At 39.9% G+C, this 23,954-nt stretch overlaps 1 long non-coding RNA gene across 1 annotated transcript in view; it reads right to left on the bottom strand.

Moving 5' to 3' along the window:
• Positions 1-2,819: 2,819 nt before the first annotated feature.
• Positions 2,820-23,954, bottom strand: part of LOC107986767 (uncharacterized) — a 28,179-nt gene continuing 7,044 nt past the window's right edge. The window contains exons 2-3 of the long non-coding RNA XR_001745091.3: positions 12,300-12,367; positions 2,820-2,900 (exon numbers count right to left, since the gene is read on the bottom strand). This is a non-coding gene — a long non-coding RNA (uncharacterized LOC107986767). The remainder of the gene's footprint in view (positions 2,901-12,299; positions 12,368-23,954) is intronic.

Genomic DNA, 23,954 nt, shown 5'->3' with positions numbered 1-23,954 from the left:
AACAGTACGTGCAACTTCCAGGAAATGATATTAAATGAAGGGGCTTGAACTTTTCCCTCCCTTTTGTGAATGCTTGTTATTGCTTTTTCTTGCCTAATTGCTCTGCCTAGAACCTGCAGAACATTGTTGAATAAATGTGGTGAGGGAAAGACTTCTTTGTCTTGTTTCTGACTTTAGGAAGAAAACTTTCAGTCTTCCACTTAGTCTTATGTTATCTATAGTTTTTCAAAGATGCCCTTTTTCAGGTGGAGGAACTTTCCTGTTCCTAGTTTGCCAACTGTTTTTATCATGAAAGAGCTTCGAATTTTATTAAATACTCTTTCTCTGTCTATTGAGATGATCATGTGATTTTTGTACTTTATTTTTTCAATATAGTATATTACTATATTGCTTGATTTTTATTTGTTTAATCAACCTTGCACTTCTAGTATAAATTCTACTTAGTCATGTTGTATAAATCTTTTTATAGATGCTAGATTCAGTTTGCTAGTATTTTGTTGATTTTTGCACCCATATTTATAAAGGAAATTACATTTTGATGTCATATAAAGAATTTGTCTTTATTGGTTGTAAACTGGCTATAATAGCATCTCCAATAATATTCTGCTGAACATCTTTAAGGCGTATGTGATAAATTACTCTTGGCATTCTTAACTCAGAATTTTTTGGGGGAGCTGTAGGGGGATGGAGTATTGCTTTGTTGCCCCGGCTGGAGTGTGTAGTGGCAGCAATCTCAGCTCACTGCAACCTCCGCCTCCCAGGTTCAAGTGATTCTCCTGCCTCAGCCTCCCTGGTAACTGGGATTACAGATGCCTGCTACCATCCCTGGCTAAGTTTTATAATTTTAGTAGAGACAGGGTTTCACCATGTTGGCCAGGCTGGCCTTCAACTCCTGACCTCAACTGATCGCCCACCTCAGCCTCTCAAAGTACTGGGATTACAAGTGTGAGCCACTGCACCCAGCCTTAACTCAGAAAATTTTGAGTCTCCTAATGCTCTGCCATCTTCTTGGTAGAATATTTATGTTATGTAATCCATCATGTTTCTCTTTTATTCTAGTTGCCAGGTATTCAAATTCAAGATATTTATGCATGACTACACAAAGAAGAAGAATTATATAATAATTATCATTTCCAAAAAACAGCGAGCACAAACTGCCTCAATGTAGGATTTTGCCAAATAATATTCTTAATGTCCACAATTCTGTCTAATTAAGCAAACTAAATATGACTGCACAAGCATCAGTAATAATTATGAAAAGCAGAGTTCTATATTCAGAAATGGTCTTTCAAACTACTCCAACAAAAGATAGTAAAATAAATAGCTTGTTGTGGACACCTACTGTAAGAAAAAGAAACAAATATGTATACAAAAGACAGCAAACTTAAGAGTCTGGAGATCCGAATTTTGGTCTAGGCTTGGCCACTGAATTTGTGTTACCCTAAAAAAAGGCAACATTGAGCCTCTGATTCATCACCCAGAATCTGGAAATAATATTAATAACCTGTCTGGTTACTTAAAGTTTTGAGAAGCAGATAACAGTGTACCCTATTTCCAAAATTACTCTAAGAAAAAAGTCTTTTAAATCCAAGAAATTAGAGGACATGCAATGAAAAAATGATGTAAGAGAAAAAGAAAATAAGTTAGAATTAATTGTGAATAATTGTCAACACTGAGATTGTGGGATTTAATACAGTTTTATTAAGCAAGGATATGCAAACTAGAGGGGTCATAATTCTAAATTACGGTAACCAAATCCAAGATGTAGGGGGTAAAGAGATGAAGTGCCTAGGGAAAGTAAAATAAGATAAATGAAGAAAAAAATGAATTGTCTTATTTTGTTGAGAGAGAAACTGCAGATCCTGATTAATTTTTTAAGAAACCAAGAAAGTAAAATTAGTTTGCTGTAAATCTAAGGATAATAGTGCTGGTTCACAACTAATTAAACTAATTGAACTTGTGAATTACCTCACTACCCTCCCCAAAATACACAGAAATCACAGAAGAAATATACAAATAGAAATAAATCCATAAAATCATAGCATTGCTATAAACCTGAGAGTAATGTCACCAGCAGACTTTTGAGGGCTATGGAGGAATTTTGACAGTTCTGGAAGTAGGTCCACATTGCCAACAAAATCCAACAGACTAAGGAGCTAATAAATTCATCCAGGTGATGAATCATCAAAGAGAAGAATCACTAAAGTGAGTTTTTCCAATACATTCTCTGCATAACGCTTAGGTAAGAGACAATGAGGGTTGTGAGAAGGGCTGAGACTTGGACAATAGACTGGATAATTCATTAGAAGGAAAAGAGCCACATAGTAATTCTGTTGTCAGAGGAGCTGAAAATAGCATTTCTCTCCTGAATAAAACTTCAAATACAGCTCTACTAAGGGGGAAGTCTAACTTCAGAGATTACCAGAATGGAAAACAGGTTTATAGGAAGGAGACTGATAGTAACCTCACTGACTTTCAGTTGTCTTAATAGCTGAAATAGGAAGATCCAGCATAGAAACTACTCATAAATCATAAAGAAGAGCCTACTCACATGTAACCTCCCTATACCACCAACTTCCTCAACCCTACAAACAAACACACAACCATCAGAACCAGTATACCTATAATGAAAACTTGCATTTATTCTCTGCCAGGTGAATAGGGCTTCTTATTTGGACAAAGTACATCAATTCTGGCCATCAACACTACGTATTATATACTATGAACACAAATATATATAGACAACCAAGAATCATTAAATATTTAAATAAAACTAACAACATTGGAGAAACCAAATTTTTAAAAACTTTAAACAATTACTTAACTCAGATGTATTAGGTATCCCATGGGCATCTTGATATGTAGAAAATGTAAGGGAGGCAGAGGCCATGTTCGTGTAGCTGTAACAGCAGAAAAGAAGCTCAATCATCTATAAGAATAGAATCCATATTCACTAGCTTAATTCAAAGGTATAAGGGCAAGATGGAGGAGCAGTTGTGGAGAGGGTTAGCAGCAACAGCTGCACTAGTTTTCTGACCTCCAGATCATAGCTACAGTTATATGATCTTGAAACTGAAAATTTCCTTGAATCTCTGACTTTCACTCCTTCAGTCTTTTAAATGATTTTATACATACCAAAATATTTTTCTACATGAAATATATGTAGTGTTTTCTATTTGCTATACTAATTTTGTCTGATACAATAGTTGGTATATAAAGATGTTCAAAAAATAAAGAAATAAAACTTCAACACTGGGAATTTGATATTTATTATTTGACCCAGTTTGGATTTAAAGGCAATGATATCTTGATTACCAGTGGAAAATAAGATATTGGTAGTCCAAGACATGCAGTGGTAATACATTTACTTAAATTATCATATGTCATCAACTGAAATAAGGTGCCTGTTGAACACAAGATCTGTTAGCAATTGTTTGTTATGATAGAACACTAAAATGCAAATAAGCAATAAATGGACTGGGGTGGGCTGAGGTGGCAGTTCTGACAGCCTTTGAAAAATTAGAGAACAATGATGACAAGCCCAGGGTTTTAACTTTTTAAAAAAATTTCTAAATGTGACATGGGACCTCGCTACGTTGCCAAGGCTGGGCTTGAACTCCTGAGCTCAACTGATCCTCCTGCCTCAGCCTCTCAAAGTGCTGGGGGTACAGGTGTGAGTGACTACATCCAGCTGACGTTAACTGCTTGACTCAAAACTTGTTCCAACACACAGAGAGCTTCTGTGATTTCTTATCTTTGTCCTTATTGATGGGCCAGATAATTCTTTGGCCCTGTGGCAAAAGGCTGAGGAAGGCTGTCCTATGCATTGTAGGATATCTCAGTACCTCTGGACTCTATCCACTAGATGCCACTAACAGCTCTCCCTAACCCAAATTGTGACAACTCAAAATGGACATACATTGCCAAATATCCACTGGGGAGCCAAATCACTACCAACAACAGTGGCACCACCATCACTCAGCCCTCCAATGAAAACTACTACTCTAAATTAATTTCATCCCATGTCATCATAGGACTGATATCATTAACAATTGATAAATCTGAATACACAAGTTGCAGGTTTTAGGCAACTTTGTAAGAATTTAGGATATTTATTGGGATAGAATGGTACCTTGAGAATTGAAAACCAAGCCTCAAAATCTCAGAGCATCATTTTCTTAGTAGAATTAGACCCTTCTTTCTTGGTGAAGCTACCTGCCTTGTTGAAGACACTGTAATGAATGGACTCAACTGAGTTCATTACTTTGCAAAGGGATGCTGATTCTCCTCATGCCCATCTCTCTCACTGCATCCCTATAAATGGAATCAGATCCCAGTATGTTCGAAGGGGCAAGGACAAATTCTGACCCTGAAGGAGACAGTGTTTTCATCTATATTAGGAAGAGTTACCTTATGTTTGGTGGTAGTGGTTTTATTGCTATTGTGATTGTGGGGAGGTTTACGGATAGAAGGGTGTATCTGGTTGCTGAGTAGACAAAGCATAAAATTGGGCTAGATATTGTCCACTAGCAGGTGACTTTCATTCTCACCTCTTCCTCTGTATTACAGATCATGTTAGAATAAAAACTACGTTTCTCAGACTCACTTAAAACTAGGATTATAGATATGATTTAGATTCCACCAATTAGATGGGCTTTCAAGGTTTTGATGGTGGTGGGAGGCAGACAGGTTCCTACGCGGGAAAGGGTAGGTCCCCAGTGAGGACCAACCTTCAAGCCAGGGATGGCCTGAAGCCTGTGGGCCAGGCTACCTGTTCTGGGTAGAGTCCATGACCAGGAGTGAGAAGTTCTTTGATGCCTTTTGGCCAATCAGATGGTGCTTTTTCTGGGCCCACCCATAGACCAATCAGCATGCACTTTCTACATTCTGAGCCCATAAAAACCTCAGACTCAGCCAGACTCAGACACATTTCAGGACTACCTGCCTGAGGATGGGAGCTAGGTATTTTGGGTCTCCTCTTCACTGAGAGCTGTTCTGTCTCTCAATAAAGCTCCTTGGGGGGCACTTCCAAGATGGCCCAATAGAAACAGCTCCGGTCTACAGCTCCCTGCAAGATCGATGCAGAAGATGGGTGATTTCTGCATTTCCAACTGAGGTACCTGGTTCATCCCACTGGAACTGGTTGGACAGTGGGTGCAGCCCATGGAGGACAAGCCAAAGCAGGGTGGGGTGTCACCTCACCCAGAAAGCTCAAGGGGTCAGAGGATTTCCCTTTTCTAAACAAGGGAAGCTGTGAATGACTGTACCTGGAGGAACTGTACACTCCTGCCCAAATACTGCACTTTTCCCACAGTCTTCACAGCAGGCAGACCAGGGGATTCCCTCCCGTGCCTGGCTCGGCAAGGCCAACACACACAGAGCCTTGCTCGTTGCTAGTGCAGCAGTCTGAGATCAACCTGGGACGCTGGAGCATGGTGGGGGGAAGGGAGTCCACCATTGCTGAGACTTGAGTAGGCAGTTCTATGCTCACAGTGTAAACAAAGAGGCAGGGAGGCTCGAACTAGGCAGAGCCCACCACAGCTCAACAATGCCTACTACCTCTCTAGATTCCACCTCTTAGGGCAGGGCATATCTGAACAAAAGGCAGCAGCAGACAACTTCTACAGACTTAAACATCCTGCCTGACAGCTCTGAAGAGAGCAGTGGTTCCCCCAGCATGGTGTTAGAGATCCATTAACAGACAGACGGCCTCCTCAAGTGGGTCCCTGACCCCCCAGTAGCCTGACTGGGAGACATCTCCCAGTAGGGGCCGATAGACACCTCATACAGGTGGGTGCCCCTCTGGGACAAAGCTTCTAGAGGAAAGATCAGTCAGCAATATTTGCTGTTCTGCAGCCTCCGCTGGTGATACCCAGGCAAACAAGGTCTGGAGAGGACCTCCAGCAAACTCCAGCAGACCTGCAGCTGAGGGGCCTGTCTGTTAGAAGGTAAAATAAGAACAGAAAGGAATAGCATCAACATCAACAAAAAGGACATCCACACCAAAACCACATCCGTAGGTCACCAACATCAAAGACAAAGGAAGATAAAACCACTAAGATGAGGAGAAACCACAGCAAAAAGGCTGAAAATTCCAAAAGCCAGAACACCTCTTCTCCTCCAAAGGAACACAGCTCCTCTCCAGCAAGGGTATAAAACTGGATGGAGAATGAGTTTGAGAGTTGACAGAAAAAGGCTTCAGAAGGTCGGTAATAACAAACTTCTCCGAGCTAAAGGAGCATGTTCTAACCCATCGCAAAGAAGGTAGAAACCTAGAAAAAAGGTTAGATGAATGGCTAACTAGAATAACCAGTGTAGAGAAGAGCTTAAATGACCTAATGGAGCTGAAAACCACAGCACAAGAACTGCGTGAAGCATACACAAGCTTCAATAACCAATTCGATCAAGCAGAAGGAAGGATATCAGCGATTGTAGATCAAATGGTTAAAATAGAGAAGACAAGATTAGAGAAAAAAGAGTGAAAAGAAATGAACAAAGCCTCCAAGAACTATGTGAAAAGACCAAATCTATGTTTGATTGGTGTATTTGAGAGTGATGGGGAGAATGGAACCAAGTTAGAAAACACTCTTCAGAATTTTATTCAGGAGATCTTCCCCAACCTGGCAAGACAGGCCAACATTCAAATTCAGGAAATACAGAGAACACCACAAAGATACTCCTTGAGAAGAGCAACCCCAAGACACATAATTGTCAGATTCACCAAGGTTGAAATAAAGGAAAAAAATGTTAAGGGCAGCCAGAGAGAAAGGTCTGGTTACCCACAAAGGGAAGCCCATCAGACCAAGAGTGGATCTCTCAACAGAAACACTACAAGCCAGAAGATAGTGGGGGCCAATAGTCAACATTCTTAAAGAAAAGAATTTTCAACCCAGAATTTCATATCCAGCCAAACTAAGCTTCATAAGTGAAGGAGAAATAAAATTATTTACAGAGAAGCAAATGCTGAGAGATTTTGTCACCACCAGGCCTGCATTACCAGAGCTCCTGAAGGAAGCACTAAACATGGAAAGGAATAACTGATACAAGCCACTGCAAAAACATGCCAAATGGTAAACACCATCGACAGTATGAAGAAACTGCATCAACTAACAGGTGAAATAACCAGCTAGCATCATAATGACAGGATCACATTCACACATAACAATATTAGCCAACATGTAAATGGGCTAAATGCCCCAATTAAAAAACACAGACTGGAAAATTGGATAAAGAGTCAAGACCTATCAGTGTGCTGTATTCAGGAGACCCATCTCATTTGCAAAGACACACATAGGCTCAAAATAAAGGGATGGAGGAAGATCTACCAAGCAAATGGAAAGAAAAAAAAAAGCAGGGGTTGCAATCCTTGTCTCTCATAAGACAGACTTTAAACCAACAAAGATCAAAAGAGACAAAGAAGGCCATTACATAACGGTAAAGGGATCAATTCAACAAGAAGAGCTAACTGTCCTAAATATATATGCACACAATACAGGAGCACCCAGATTCATAAAGCAAGTCCTTAGAGACCTACAAAGAGACTTAGAGTCCTACACAATAATAATGCAAGACTTTAACACCGCACTGTCAATATTAAACAGATCAAGGAGACAGAAAATTAACAAGGATAACCAGGACTTGGACTCAGCTCTGCACCAAGCAAACCTAAAACACATCTACAGAACTCCCCACCCCAAATCAACAGAATATACATTCTTCTCAGCACCACATTGCACTTATTCTAAATTGACCACATAATTGCAAGTAAAACACTCCTCAGCAAATGTAAAAGAATAGAAATCACAACAAACTGTCTCTCAGACCACACTGCAATCAAATTAGAACTCAGGATTAAGAAACTCACTCAAAACAACTACATGGAGACTGAACAACTTGCCCCTGAATGACTACTGGGTAAATAACAAAATGAAGGCAGAAATAAAGATGTTCTTTGAAACCAATAAGAACAAAGACACAATGTACCAGAATCTCTGGGACACATTTAAAGCAGTGTGTAGAGGGAAATTTGTAACCCTAAATGCCCACAAGAGAAAGCAGAAAAGATCTAATATCGACACCCTAACATCACAATTAAAAGAACTAGAGAAGCAAGAGCAAACAAACTCAAAAGCTAGCAGAAGACAAGAAATAACTAAGATCAGAGCAGAACTGAAGAAGATAGAGACACAAAAAACTCTTCAAGAAAAAAATCAATGAATCCAGGAGCTGTTTTTTTAAAAGATCAACAAAATAGATAGACTGCTAGCAAGATTAATAAAGAAGAAAAGAGGGAAGAATCAAATAGATGCAATAAAAAATTATAAAGGGGATATCACCGCTGATCCCACAGAAATATAAACTACCATCAGAGAATACTATAAACACCTCTGTGCAAATAAACTAGAAAATCTAGAAGAAATGGATACATTCCTGGAAACATACCCCTCCCAAGACTAAACCAGGAAGAAGTTGAATCTCTGAATAGACCAATAACAGGTTCTGAAATTGACACAATAATTAATAAGCTACCAACCAAAAAAAAGTCCAGGACCAGACAGATTCACAGCCAAATTCTACCAGAGGTACAAAGAGGAGCTGGTACCATTCCTTCTGAAACTATTCCAATCAATAGAAAAAGAGGGAATCCTCCCTAACTCATTTTATGAGGCCAGCATCATCCTGATACCAAAGCCTGGCAGAGATACAACAAAAAGAATTGCAGGCCAATATCCCCAATGAACATTGATGCAAAAATCCTCAATAATATACTGGCAAACTGAATCCAGCAGCACATTGAAAAGCTTATCCACCATGATCAAGTTGGCTTCATCCCTGGGATGCAAGGCTGGTTCAACATACACAAATCAATAAACATAATCCATCACATAAACAGAACCAATGGCAAAAACCACATGATTATCTCAATAGATGCAGAAAAGGCTGACAAAATTCAACAGCCTTTCATGCTAAAAATTCTCAGTAAACTAGGTATTGATGGAACATATCTCAAAATAATAAAAGCCATTTATGACAAACTCACACCCAATATCATACTGAATAGGCAAAAACTGGAAGCATTCCCTTTGAAAAGCTGCACAACACAAGGATGCCCTCTCTCACCTCTCCTATTCAACATAGTATTGAAAGTTCTGGCCAGGGCAATCAGGCAAGAGAAAGCAATAAAAGGTATTCAATTAGGAAAAGAGGAAGTCAAATTGCCCCTGTTTGCAGATGACATGATTGTATATTTAGAAAACCCCATCATCTCAGCCCAAAATCTCCTTTTGGGCTGAAGTTTGCTGACAAGCAACTTCAGCAAAGTCTCAGGATACAAAATCAAGGTGCAAAAATGACAAGCATTCCTATACACCAAGAACAGAAAAACAGAGATCCAAATCACAAGTGAACTCCCGTTCACAATTACTACAAAGAGAATAAAATACCTAGGAATGCAACTTACAAGGGATGTGAAGGACCTCTTCATGGAGAACTACAAACCACTGCTCAACAAAATAAAAGAGGACACAAACAAATGGAAGAACATTCCATGCTCATGGATAGGAAGAATCAATATTGTGAAAATGGCCATACTGCCCAAAGTAATTTATAGATTCAATGCTATCCCCATAAAGCTACCACTGATTTTTTTCACAGAATTGGAAAAAGCTACTTTAAATTTCATATGGCACCAAAAACAGCCCGCATAGCCAAGACAATCCTAAGCAAAAAGAACAAACATGGAGGCATACCTGACTTCAGACTATACCACAAGCCTACAGTAACCAAAACAGCTTGGTACTGGTACCAAAACAGATAAATAGACAAATGGAACAGAACAGAAGCCTCAGAAATAACACCATACATCTACAACCATCTGATCTTTGACAAACCTGACAAAAACAAGCAATGGGAAAAGGATTCCCTATTTAATAAATGTTGCTGGGAAAACTGGCTAGCCATATGTAGAAAGCTGATACTGGACCCTGTCCTTACACTTACACAAAAATTAACTCAAGATGGATTAAAGACTTAAATGTAACACCTAAAACCATAAAAACCTTAGAAGAAAACATGGGCAATACCATTCAGGACCCAGGCATGGGCAAAGACTTCATGACTAAAACACCAAAAGCAATGGCAACAAAAGCCAAAATTGACAAATGGGATATAATTAAACTAAAGAACTTCTGCACAGAAAAAGAAACTATCATCAGAGTGAACAGGCAATCTACAAAATGGGAGAAAATTTTTCAATCTTTCCATCTGACAATGGGCAAATATCCAGAATCTACAAAGAACTTAAATTTACAAGAAAAAAAAAACCCATCAAAAAGTGGGCAAAGGATATGAACAGACACTTCTCAAAAGAAGACATTTATGCAGCCAACAGACACATGAAAAAATGCTCATCATCACTGGTCATCAGAGAAATGAAAATCAAAACCACAAGGAGATACAACCTCATGCCAGTTACAATGGCAATCATTAAAAAAGTCAGGAAACAACAGATGCTGGAGAGGATGTGGAGAAATAGGAACGCTTTTATACTGTTGGTGAGACTGTAAACTAGTTCAACCATTGTGGAAGACAGTGTGGCGATTCTTCAAGGATCTAGAACTAGAAATACCATTTGACACAGCAATCCCATTACTGGGTATATACCCAAAGGATTATAAATCATTCTATAAAGACACATGCACATGTGTGTTTATTGCAGCACTATTCACAATAGCAAAGACTTGGAGCCAACCCAAATGTCCATCAATAATAGACTGGATAAAGAAAATGTGGCACATATACACCGTGGAATACTATGCAGTCATAAAAAAGGATGAGTTCATGTCCTTTGCAGGGACATGGATGAAGTTGGAACCATCATTCTCAGCAAACTATCACAAGGACAGAAAACCAAACACCACCTGTTCTCAGTCATAAGTGGGAGTTGAACAAGGAGAACACATGGACACAGGATGGGGAACATCTCACACTGAGGCCTGTAGGGGGGTGGGGTGCTGGAGAAGGGATAGTGTTGGGAGAAATACCTAATGTAAATGACGAGTTGATGGGTGCAGCAAACCAACATGGCACATGTATACCTATGTAACAAACCTGCACGTTGTGTACATGTACCCTAGAACTTTAAGTATAATAATAATTTTTTTAAAATCCACTTGTAACTACTGCTTGTTGGAGTATATTCAGGGCAACTTGAATCTGTGCTCCTGCATTGCAATCTGCAAGCTTGGCCCAGATAAACTTTCTATGTATATTAAAAAATAAAAATTAAAAAAAATAAATAAAGCTCTTCTCTGCCTTGCTCACCCTCCAGTTGTCCACATAACCTCATTCTTCCTGGATGTGGGACAAGAACTCAGGACTCACTGAATGGCTGAAACACCACTTTCCTGGCTGGCTCGCTGTGCCATGGATGGCAGGAACAAGAGATCTGTAATATCCCCTCCCCAACTCTTGGGGCTCTGCCATTGCTGGCATCTCCAAGTTTTGGGGCACCATCGTGTTCCCCTCATCCAGATGCCGGTACCCACAGCATAAACCACTTGCAGTACGCCTGGTCCAGCTACAGCCTCACAGAGAGCCGGTGCCTATGCTGGCACCTGGAACTGCCCACCCCACATGCAGCAGTTGGTGCGCCTGGCTATGCGCAGTGGCCAGACCCCACACTCACTCACTCACATACCTCTCACCACTCTGCTTGGCTCATCCTCAGTGGGCATGGGATCTGAGCCAGTAGCATGAGCTGAGTGCAGCCTGACAGGCTGAATGGGCAGAATGAGCCCAGCAGGCATGAACAAAACTCAAGCAGAGTTGCATCGCCGCTGCCCATAGAGGTTTCCAGCTGGTGAGGCAACACACAAGGGATCCTGTGATATTTAGAAAATAGGAGGGAGGTAATAGCAAACTTTCTGCAGGTGTAGATGTGGACAAACAAACTCCAATAGGCATGAGTTCCAATATGGAATGACTAGCTGACTTGTTCCAGTGTCTAGATATGAGTGTTGTGGCTGTTAGGTGGTTATGGTTTGGGCAGCCACAAAAACATTAACAGCATCAGCTTTCTGACATTTGGATTGCAAATACAGTTGTGTAGCCTCAGAGCCAAAATTCAGGAAGCAGCTCCCTAACTTCTTCTCCAGGTTAGACATTGAGTTTATATCTAACTCCATCTACTAAATTTTTTCTGCTCAAAAAAAGAGTGGTTTTGGTTTCTACTATACTGTACTTTGACTGATACGCGTTTTAAAAAGACTCCTACATCGTCCAAAGGAATTCCTTCTTACCTTGCAGAGTTAACCTGGCAATCCACAAGTATGGCAGTAACCCTGGGCAACATAGTGAGACCCCATCTCTACAAAAAAAGAAAAAAAATCAGTTAGCAGGGCATGGTGATGCTCACCTGAAGTCCCAGCTACTAGGGAGACTGAGGTGAGAAGGTCACTTGAGCCCAGGTGTTTGAGGACACAGTGAGATGCAATGGTACCACTGTACTCCAGCCTGGGTGACAAAATGAGACCCTGTCTCTAGAAAATAAAATAAAACTACAGAAGTAAGCAGTTGGCCAAACAGCTAACATTTATGATCACTTAAAGAGATCATAAATCCTTTGTTATGGAGAATGGCTCATTTTATCTTGCTGTAGTTCATATTTTCAGAGATATCCAAGAGAAAAGAGTATTGATAAAGCAAGAAAACATTGTGCTGAAATTTCTGAACTTCAGGAAAATCATAAGTACTCCCAGAAAGAAAAGTCAGGATATTTACAAAGGAATAGGAATCAGAATTCTCAACTACAACTCTGGATGGCTGGCAACTTCTAAAATCATTTCAATATTTTCTAATAAAGAGTTCATTGATAATCTGTTTTCAAATTATGTTAAAATACTGACTACAGAATTTTCTTCAATATTTAGGTAGCATGGATTGACTTTGGTATTACATGAGTAAAAACTTTCCACATATTTAGCAAATGGATAATATTAAAAATTGTTTTAAGTTAATTAATTTTTATAGATAATATGTATACATGGTATAAAATGTTTAAATGCACAAAAGAGTACCATGAAAGCGAAATTTTCATTCTACCTTTGTGCCCTAGCCAGTCAGTCATCTCTCTAGACATAGCAACAAGATGAGCTTTTTTTTTTTAAAGTGATTGGCTCAGGGCTGAGTTTTTATAACAGCTTTATTGAGATATAATTCACATACCATAAAATTTACCCTTTCATGGTTTACAATTCAGTGATTTTTAGTATATAAAAAATGTACAACCATCACCACTATCTAATTCCAGAACACTTACATCAACCTCAAAAGAAACCCCATATCCATTCGCAGTTACTCCTCATTTCCCCTACACGTAGACCTTGATAATCACTAATCTATGTTCTGTCTTGAGGAATTTTCGTATTGTAGATATTTCATTTAAATGAAATAAAAAATAAGTGGTCTTATGCGTCTGGTTTCTTTCACTTAGCATAATGTTTCCATGGCTCATCCATGTTGTAATACAACTTGTTTTTAAATAAACACAATACTGTGAGATGCCATCAGTATTTGTTCTGCATGGAGAAAAGACAAAAGTGGCAAGTGAGTACTTCAATTTTTGCTACAATAGCAGTTTATTAGACAGATCTCCTAGACAAGCTGAGGTATTTACTCATGTTTCAGTGCATATGAATGGCAGGCTTTGGAGACGTTTTTCACAAGGGGCAAGTCCCAAGAAAGCAAAACAGATGGGCAAAGACAGCATCAGTAGAGCAACGTCGTAAAGCATACAATATTATATATTAGACAGACAAATAAGGTTAGTTAGGAACAGGAGGTTTCATGTCATCAACTGAAAAGGTGGAGAAGCTTTCAAACAAACAAAAATGCACAGTGATACCTTCTGCTCTTTTAAATCAATCAGATCTCTAAGTGACAAATCATAAGCAAACTCCTTAACATTGTTCTAAATCTATACAACAGTTTTTAAAAATTTATTGGAAAATATAACAGAAAAAAATGAAAAACAAATAAGTAAATGTATAGATCAAATAATCATCATGAAGTAAACACCCTTATAAACACCATCCACATCAACACCAAAGAAGCCTCTCTTGAGCCCCTCTTGCTTACCTAAGGGTAGTCATTATCTTGAATCTAAGCCTATTTTCAAATTTGTGTCCAACAACATGTTCATTTATTTCTGAGACCTTCCCAGATGCACGTTAACATTTATATTTCTACCAACTCATGTTTAGGTATCTGTTAACAGCAGCAAATCACTTCTGATACCGAAATCTACATTTGTTTTCTAGGACTGCTGTAAAAATCATTACAAACTGGGTGGCTTAAAACAACAGGAATTTATTTTCTCACAGTTTTGGAAGTCAGAAATCTGAAACAAAGGCGTGAACAGGACCACACTCCCTCCAAAGGCTCTAGAGGGGAATTCTTCTTTCTATCTTCCAGTTCCTACTGGCTTCTGGTGTTCCTGGGCTTGTGGTAGCATAACTCCAGTCTCGGCCTCTGTCTTCACTTGGCTTTCTCTGTGTGTGTCTGTGTCTGTGTGTCCCTCCCTCTTCTTATAAGGATACCAAGTCATTTGATTCAGGGCCCACCCCAATCCAGTATGAACTCACCGGATTAATTACGTATGCAAAGACCCTATTTCCAAATAAGTTCACATTCTGAGGTTCTAGGTGTTCATGAATTTTGGAAGGACACTATTCAACTCATTACACTTTCCCAATGTCTTTGAACAAAAAACCATGGTCTGAACCATTTGAATAACCTAGCCTGTCAATTCTGAAAGTGAAAGTCCGTGCACAGTTTTAAAATCAAGTAATTTTTTAAAATCTTCCTCAAATTAAATCTTTTAATTTAAAAGTAAACTTTACTGTCGAAAATGCAAACTTAGGGAGGGCAGAAAGATCCCACACAGAGCTGCCACTTCACACCTAGAGGGTTGCACGGCAGCCAGCAGCTGGGCCGAGGCGCTCCCCACTTCCCAGACGGAAAATCAAGTAATTTTAACTCACAATATTTCATAGGGCCTCACATTTTGAGAGATCTGATATTTATTTGATAAAACTGCTGCAACTAATCTGGTTGAGATTAAAGAAAGCATAGTTTGTCTATTCTTGTCAAGTTTTGTTATGACCTTTGTAATGTGAATTTGGAAAGTTACTTTTTCAATGTTTTGAGATAGATTTAATAGCATAGGAATTATCTATACCTTGAAGATACAGCACTTTGCTTATGAAACCATTTTGACAAATACTCTTAAACATTATTTGAGTGTTCTCAATTTCTTCCATTATTGATTTAATTTATTTAACCTCACCATGGGCCAACTATGTTTACGTGTATTTTCTTATAAAAGTGTTATTTTATAAAAATGTCATTAGATGCATCATAACTTTTAAAAATTTCTTCTGTGCCTTTTATTATACCATCCTTAGTTTTTTTTAATAGATGAGTTAATTAAACTCATTTACTTATTTATTTGTTTGTTTTTTTAAGACGGGGTCTTGCTATGTTGCCCAGGCTGGATTTGAATTCCTGGGCTTAGGCAACCCTTCCACCTCAGCCTCCTCAGTAACTGGGCTACAGGCATGTGCCACCATGCCCAGACACTCAGTTTTTATTAAGATTTATCTGTAGCTTTATTTTTTATTACCTTTACCTTATTGTAAGTTGTCTTCCTTAGCCTTAATTGAATGACTATTTGCTGTCACAGAACATTTTAGTGGATAAAAGGCTATAATGGAGTTGCTTATAAGTGTTCTCCAGCACTCAGAAGTAAGAAAGAATGGGCTCAAAGGCCCTATAAATGACCTGAAATCTTCTTAGACTTTTCTAAAAGAAATCTTTATATCTTATAGCCATAGAAATTGTATTATAGAAAACCAAACTCAAAATCTAACCAAACCAAAATCTAAACTCTATGGATGGCTGAAACATTGCAAATTAAATTTCCAGCCTTGTAGAGTTTACTTTTTTTTTTTTAAGATGGAGTTTCACTCTTGTCACCCAGGCTGGAGTGCAATGGCATGATCTCAGCTCACTGCAACCTCTGCCTCCTAGGTTCAAGCGATTCTCCTGACTTGGCCTCCCGAGTAGCTGGGATTACAGGCACCCACCACCATGCCCGGCAAATTTTTTTTGTATTTTTAGTAGAGACGGGGTTTCACCCTGTTGACCAGGTTGGTCTCAAACTCCTGACCTCAGGTGATCCACCTGCCTTGGCCTCCCAAAGTGCTGGGATTACAGGCACAAGCCACCACGCCTGGCCTAGAGTTTGCTTTTAATGGCAAAAACTGCCATTACTTTTGCACCAACCTAATAAAATTAAGACATCCCTGAAAATTGGGATGGGGACATATGAGTAGATTCTGATGAAGGCGATAATTTTGAGCCTGAAATTCTGGGCAAGTTGTCAGTCTACCCCTGCCTGAAGAACTGTATTAGCTTCCCCTGAGATAGTTGCCTTACAAGGGACTACTATTCCTTCTGACAATCTACCTTTACCACCTCTCATTGCTTCCAAATCTGTAATCAGACTCAGGTGAAAGTAGACTCCAATGTGTGAGACACAAACTTAGGACGAACAATACACACCAAAAGAATTGGCTGATTTTGTCAATTTTCACAGATACTGGTGAAACTGTATGGGGATGGATCTTAAGAGTGTGATATCAGCTGGGCGCAGTGGCTCAAGCCTGTAATCCCAGCACTTTGGGAGGCCGAGGTGGGCGGATCACGAGGTCAGGAGATCGAGACCATCCTGGCTAACATGGTGAAACCCCATCTCTACTAAAAATACAAAAAATTAGCCAGGCGAGGTGGCGGGCACCTGTAATCCCAGCTACTCAGGAGGCTGAGGTACCCGGGAGGTGGAGCTTGCAGTGAGCCGAGATCATGCCACTGCACTCCAGCCTGGGTGACAGAGCGAGACCCTGTCTCAAAAAAAAAAAAAGAGTGTGGTATCAGGGTGGAGGGAATATAAACTTGCATTAAACTCAGTTTATTAACATGGCTTCACTAGCAGAGATTCCAGATTTAGTGTGTTTGTCTGAGGGGTTGGGAGTGACTCTAACAGTTTATTTGTTGATTAACTAAAACCTGGGCTAAAAGGTAGCCTACACTTAAGGGAGTTAAATTGCCAAAACTTTCCTGGTGCCACAGAAAGGATGGTATCAAATGACTCAGGAATATTACCTAGAATCTACAAGGAACTCAACAACTCAACAACAAAAGAAACAAACAGCCCCATTAAAAAGTGGGCAATAGGCCAGGTGCAGTGGCTCATGCCTGTAATCCCAGCACCTTGGGAGGCCGAGGCAGGCGGATCACAAGGTCAGGAGATCGAGACCATCCTGGCTAACACGGTGAAACCCCGTCTCTACTAAAAATACAAAAAAATTAGCCAGGCATGGTGGCGGGCGCCTGTAGTCCCAGCTACTCGGGAGGCTACTCAGGAGGCAGAAGAATGGCATGAACCCGGGAGGTGGAGCTTGCAGTGAGCAGAGATCACACTACTGCATTCCAGCCTGGGTGACAGAGCGAGATTCTGTCTCAAAAAAAAAAAAAAAGTGGGCAATAAACACGAACAGACATTTTTCAAAAGAAGACATACAAATGGCTAACAAGCATAGGAAAAAATACTCAACACCACTGATCATCAAAGAAATGCAAATTAAAACCACAATGAGATATCATCTTACACCAGTCAGAATGGCTATTATTAGAAAGTAAAAAAATAACATACATTGGCAAAGAGGAGAAAAGGGAACACTTATACACTGTTAGTGGGAATATAAATCAGTATAACCTCTATGGAAAACAGTATGGAGATTTCTCAAAGAACTAAACATAGAATTACAATTCAATCTAGTAGTCCCACTATGGGGTATTTACCCAAAGGAAAAGAAATCATTACATGAAAATGATACCTGCAGCCGGTCATGGTGGCTCATGAGAGGCCAAGGCAGGCAATCACCTGAGGTCAGGAGTGTGAGACCAACCTGGCCAATATAGTGAAACCCCTTCTGTACTAAAAATACAAAAATTAGCCAGGCATGGTGGCAGGTGCCTGTAATCCCAGCTCCTCAGGAGGCTGAGGTAGGAGAATCACTGGAACCCAAGAGGTGGAGCTTGCAGTGAGCTGAGATTGTGCTATTGCACTCCAGCCTGGGAGACGAGAGTGAAACTCTGTCTCAAAAGGAAAAAAAAAGATACCTGCACTTACATGTTTATTGCAGCACTATTTATAACAGCAAAGATATGGAAACAACCTAAGTGTCCATCAAAAGATACTTGGATAAAGAAAATGTGAGATTATATATATATATATCTCCATGTAATTCCACTCAGCCCTAAAAAAAATGAGCACAGGTATTAATATTTTGCAGCAACATGGATGGAACTAGAGGCCACTATCTTAAGTAAATAACTCAGAAACAGAAAGTCAAATATCACATGCTTTCACTTATAAGTGGGAGCTAAATAAGTGTATACATGGACATGGAGAGTGAAATAATAGACTCTGGAGACTCAGAAGGATGGGAAGGTAAAGTTGAGGGGGGCATGAAGGTTAAAAAATTACCTATTGAGTACAATGTTCACTATTTGGGTGATGGGTACACTAGAAGCCCAAACTTTGCTATTACATAACAAAACTGCACTTGTACCCCTTCAATCTTCAAGAACAAACAAAGCAACCAAAAGACTCAGGAACATTAGAATGATAAAGTGGATTTACCATGTAAGACATGTAACACTTGCTTGCCCATTCACTGAATATTTCCCCTGTGAGGGTCCAGAGGGCACTCAAAGTTTTAAGAAATATGATTTGTGAGAGAAGCCCTGGACTAGGCTCTCTGAATTCAGTGGAGGAATCACTCCTGTTGATGAGATCAGATGGTGGTAGGCACCATGTGGTGACATATAAATTATTAAATACAAGGTAGGCATGGTTATTGTATTAGGCCACAGAGCCAAAGCAGTAATAAGAATAGTAGCTGCAAAATGTACAGCATTGGCTAGTTGATTGTGGAGTTTCTAGAACCAAAATAGATGGTAAACCTACTAAAATCTTGATGTATAAGCAGAAAGTTTTAGGACTGGAAGACTGAAAGGATTAATGCTGCCATCATGAATTTAAAAGACACAGGGTAGCAATTCTTAGGTCGACCACATTTAACTTTCTTACTGGGGCTGTGAAAAAGAAACACGGATCTTGGAGAATGACAGTGAATTACTGTAAACTTAATCAGGTGACAATTTTCATTGCAGCTGCAATTCTTTTTTTTTTAATTTTGAGACAACATCTCGCTCTGTCATCCAGACTGGAGTGCAATGGTGCAATCTCAGCTCACTGCAACCTCCACCTCCCAGTTTCAAGCAATTCTCCTGCCTCAGCTTCCCAAGTAACTAGGATTACAGGCACCTGCCACCAAGCCCAGCTAATTTTTGTATTTTTAATAGAGACGGGGTTTCACCGTCTTGGTCAGGCTGGTCTCAAACTCCTGACTTCAGGTGATCTACCCGCCTTGGCTTCCCAAAATGTGGGATTACAGGCATGAGCCACTGCACCCAGCCCTGCAGCTGCAATTCTAGATGTGGTTTCGTTGCTGGAGAAAATCAACACATACCATGGCTTCTGGTGTTCAATAATTGCACTGGCAAAGGCTTTTATCTATAGCTGTCATTAAGGACCATCAAAAGTAGTTTGCTTTCTGTTAGTTAGTAACACACCTTGACTGTCTAGTCTCAGGACTATGCCAGTCAGGCTCTTTTGCAGAGCCTTCACTGTGTCTTTATTTCACAGAAAATCATGCTGGCCAGTTACATGGATGATGTCATTGATATGGTTTGGCTGTGTCTCCACCCAAATCTCATCTTGAATTTCCACATGTTGTGGAAGGGACCCGGTGGAAGGTAATTGAACCATGGGGGCAGGTCTTTCCCATGGTGTTCTCATGATAGTAAATAAGTCTTACGAGATCTGATGGTTTTATACGAGGGAGTTTCCCTGCACAAGTTCTCTCTCTTTGCCTGCTGCCATCCATGTAAGACATGACTTGCTCCTCCTTGCCTTCCACCATGATTGTGAGGCCTCCCCAGCCATCTGGAACTGTAAGTCCATTAAACCTCTTTGTTTTGTAAATTGCCCACTCTTGGGTATGCCTTTATGATGTTAATTGGACCTAGTAAGAAGGAAGTTAACAACTACTCTAGACGTGTTGGTAAGATACATGTAGGACAGGTGGTGGGAAGCAAATCTGACAAATAATCAGGTTTCTACCATCTCAGGGAAATGTCTAGGTCCCATTGGTCTGATGAGGGAGAAGAAAAGGAAACATCAGTTAAGGCTGTTCCTTGGAGAAGCAGCCTGCCTGAAAAATCACAGCTACAGGCAAAAATAGAGCAGCCTGAGGAAAACTCAGAATGCACCTGCACAGATAAGCAGGCAAGGCAGACGAGTTCCAACACAGAGGCCTTTTGTTCTTTGTGTGATTAGCAGGTTCCCAGGAAAAGCTTCCTCCCCTTCTCAGGCATATACACCATGGGCTCCAATGGGAACTTGCACAGGGATCGGGGGCACTTACCTAAAACAAACCAGCAGTTATACAAACAAGTGAAGCAGCACTTTGTGCTTGCCTAGAGTCATATGCACAACTATATAGATGAGGAGGAGTTGTGCAGATAGCTTTTCAGATAAGAGAAGTTACTCAGACAGCTACAGAGAGGAGTTTCTTTTAAAAGCTTTTGAATTTGACTGTAAAAACAGCAACCCACTTGGGCTCCCCTCTCTGCTATGGAGAGCTTTCTTCTTTTGCTTATTAAACTTTTGCTCCAGCCTCACCATTTGTGTCCATGCTCCTTAATTCTCTTGGTCATGTAATGACCAGCTCAGATAACACCTTAGACGAGACCAGTGACGCTGACCTGTTTCACTGGGACATGTCAGTATGTCCTTTTTATTTTTATTTATTTATTTTTGAGACAGAGTCTCACTCTGTCACCCAGGCTGGTGCAGTGGCATGATCTTGGCTCACTGCAACCTCCACCTCCCAGGTTCAAGTGATTTTCCTGTTTCAGCCTCCTGAGTAACTGGGATCATAGGTATGTGCCACCACGCCTGACTAATTTTTGTGTTTTTAGTAGAGACAGGGTTTCACCATGTTGGCCAGGCTGGTCTTTAACTCCTGACCTCAAGTGATTCGCCTGCCTTGTTCTCCCAAAGTGCTGGGATTGCAGGCATGAGCCACTGTGCCTGGCCCAATACGTCCTTTTTAAAGTGAAGGACAAGTTACTGCATCTGGCTTCTCTCAACCTTGAAGGGGCATAATACCATTTAGGCCTCTTTGGATTTGGGAGGCAACATTTACTTCATTGAGTGTGCTACTCTTATGCATTTACTGAGCAACCTGAAAAGCTGCTAGTTTTGGGTGGGACCCAGAACAAAACAAAGATCTGCAACAAGTCTAGGCTGCCATGCAAATTGCTTTTCAGCTGAGATACATAACACAGCATATCTGTTGGTGCTTGAAGCAAGTTCATCATGAACTGGGTCTTTTCTGACAAACAAAGCCATAAGATTGTACGTGAACAGCCACATTACATCACCAATTGGAAATAGCAGAAACTAGGATTTGAGCAGGTCCTGAAGGCATAAGTAAGTTGCAGGAGTAAGTGTCACAAATGCCTACGGTCCAGATTCCTGCAATAGTGCCTCCTCCCCTCTCAACATGCATGTATGATTCCATGGAGTGTTCTCCATTCCCATTTAATTGAAGAACCAATATGTGAAGTTGGTTTACAGATGGTTTTATATGAAATGTTATCAATACCCCAAAGTAGACAGTTGTAGCACTATAGTCCCACTCTGGATTGGCCCTGAAAGACAGTAGTAAAAGATAATCATCCCAGAAGGTGGAACTTTTAGCAGTTCTCCTTGATATTCAGTTTGTTTGGAAGGAAGGATGGCCAGAGGTATGGCTCTACGTTTACTAGTGGGTGTGGCTAATATTTCCATTGGATGACCAGGGATTTGGAAGGAATATAATTGGAAAATTGGTAACAAGATCTGAGAAAGAGATATATGGATAGATGTTTCTGAGTTGGCACAGCATGTGAAGATATTTGTATTCCAAATGGATGCTAATCAAAGAGCTGTTGCAGTAGAGGAGGATATGAATAATCATGGAAGGGAAAATGTTTTGTTGTCATTGGCATAGACACTGTGGGCATGAATTTGCCTTCCTTGCCTGCAGTGCATCCATGGACTTATAAAATGCTTTACTATAATAATATTCTACATAGTATTGCTTCTAACAAACTCAATTTCTAGCAAATGTAATATGGTGATGGACTCATAGTCATTCACTGGTCTTATTACATGCTCCATCACTCTGGAACAATTGACCTAACAGAATTATTAGGCTCAGTTACAGGGCCAGTTGAGAGCAACACCTTGGAGAGCTGCAATAATATCTTCTAGTATATGGTGTATACTCTAAATTCATGAGCAATATATGCTGCTATTTTCAATGAAAATAGCAGGAGAATCAAGGAGTATATATGGCAGTGCACTTCTTACTATTACTTCTAGTGATTCACTGGTGAAATTCCCAACCTAGCAACTTTGGGCTTTGCTGGTCTAGAAATCTTAGTTTTAAGGAATAAATCCTTTTATTAGGAGATATGGCAATGATTCCATTACACTAGAAGTTGAGACTGGTCACTTTGGGGTCCTCAAGTCACTCAATCAATAGGCAAATAAGAGGTTATTCCATTAACTTGGGTGACTGATCCTGATTATTAAGGAGAATTTGGGGTATACAACTTAATGGGGTTTCAAAAGAGTATGTCTGGAATGCATGAAATCCTTTGACACCTCTTAGGACTCCTGTTCTTGCCAAATTCTTCTTTTAATTTCTATACTTCTGGACCTGGTTTGTATTTAGTTCTGTAACAAGGAGCTGTAGCTTCTCCTGAAGGACACCCACATCACTGAGGTTGGGAGTTTGAAAGTAACAAGAGACCAATGGGGTCTTTGTGTCCTCATGGATCCCACTATCCCCACAGGTTCTGATGTGTTTTTGCTCCTCTGTTTTATGTGCTGCTTCCCTTTTTGACTGTGTCCCCTAATGACTGCAGGCTGTAAAGGAAACATATCTCCCACAATTGCATAATGTCAATTCTTTATAATAAATCTCTAATTATATATGTATACATCCTAGGAGCTCTGCTTCTCTGGTTGAGCCCTGACTAATATAAGTGCTTACATTTCTGACTTGTTCTAACTTTTCTTTACTTACTCTTCCTAGCCTGGTCCTCATTTGTTCATGTTCTCTCTAGGGTTTGAGCATTCAGCCTCTTCTCTTCTTACACTTTCCATTTTACACATTCTTTACAAACATGCTCATGAATTTCCATTGTATTAACTCTCACTTACATGCTATTTATGTTTAAATTGTAACCCCAGCCTAAACTTCTCTCACGAGCTTGAGTGATGTTTCTGCCTGCCTTCAGAGTATCTCTAATTGAGGATATTCCACAGCTATCCTAGACTCAACATTTCCAAAAATGACTTCATATTCCTGATCTTGGTAAGTAGCACCACTATATACCCATAACCTAAGTCATATACAAGTGCCTATTGCACGGCTTATCCTAAACCTTTGTAATATTTATGTACCTCCCCACTAGACTAAAAGTGTTGAAGGAAGACACCAGTGAGTTAATCTCCTTATCCTGAGCACTCAACATAATGAACAGTATATAGTAGGCACTCAATATATGTTTAATAAGTGAATAAGATAAGTGAACAAATGACTGAATGAATGGATGGATTTTTTTTAAAAAGATAAAAATTGCAGAGAAATAATAAGTGGCATCATAGAAGAGGAATAGAACATAGGTAATCTAAAAAGCCTATAAAC

Source organism: Homo sapiens, chromosome 7, assembly GCF_000001405.40.
Source record: "Homo sapiens chromosome 7, GRCh38.p14 Primary Assembly".
NCBI lineage: Eukaryota > Metazoa > Chordata > Mammalia > Primates > Hominidae > Homo > Homo sapiens.
This window is presented reverse-complemented; position numbering and strand designations above follow the sequence as displayed.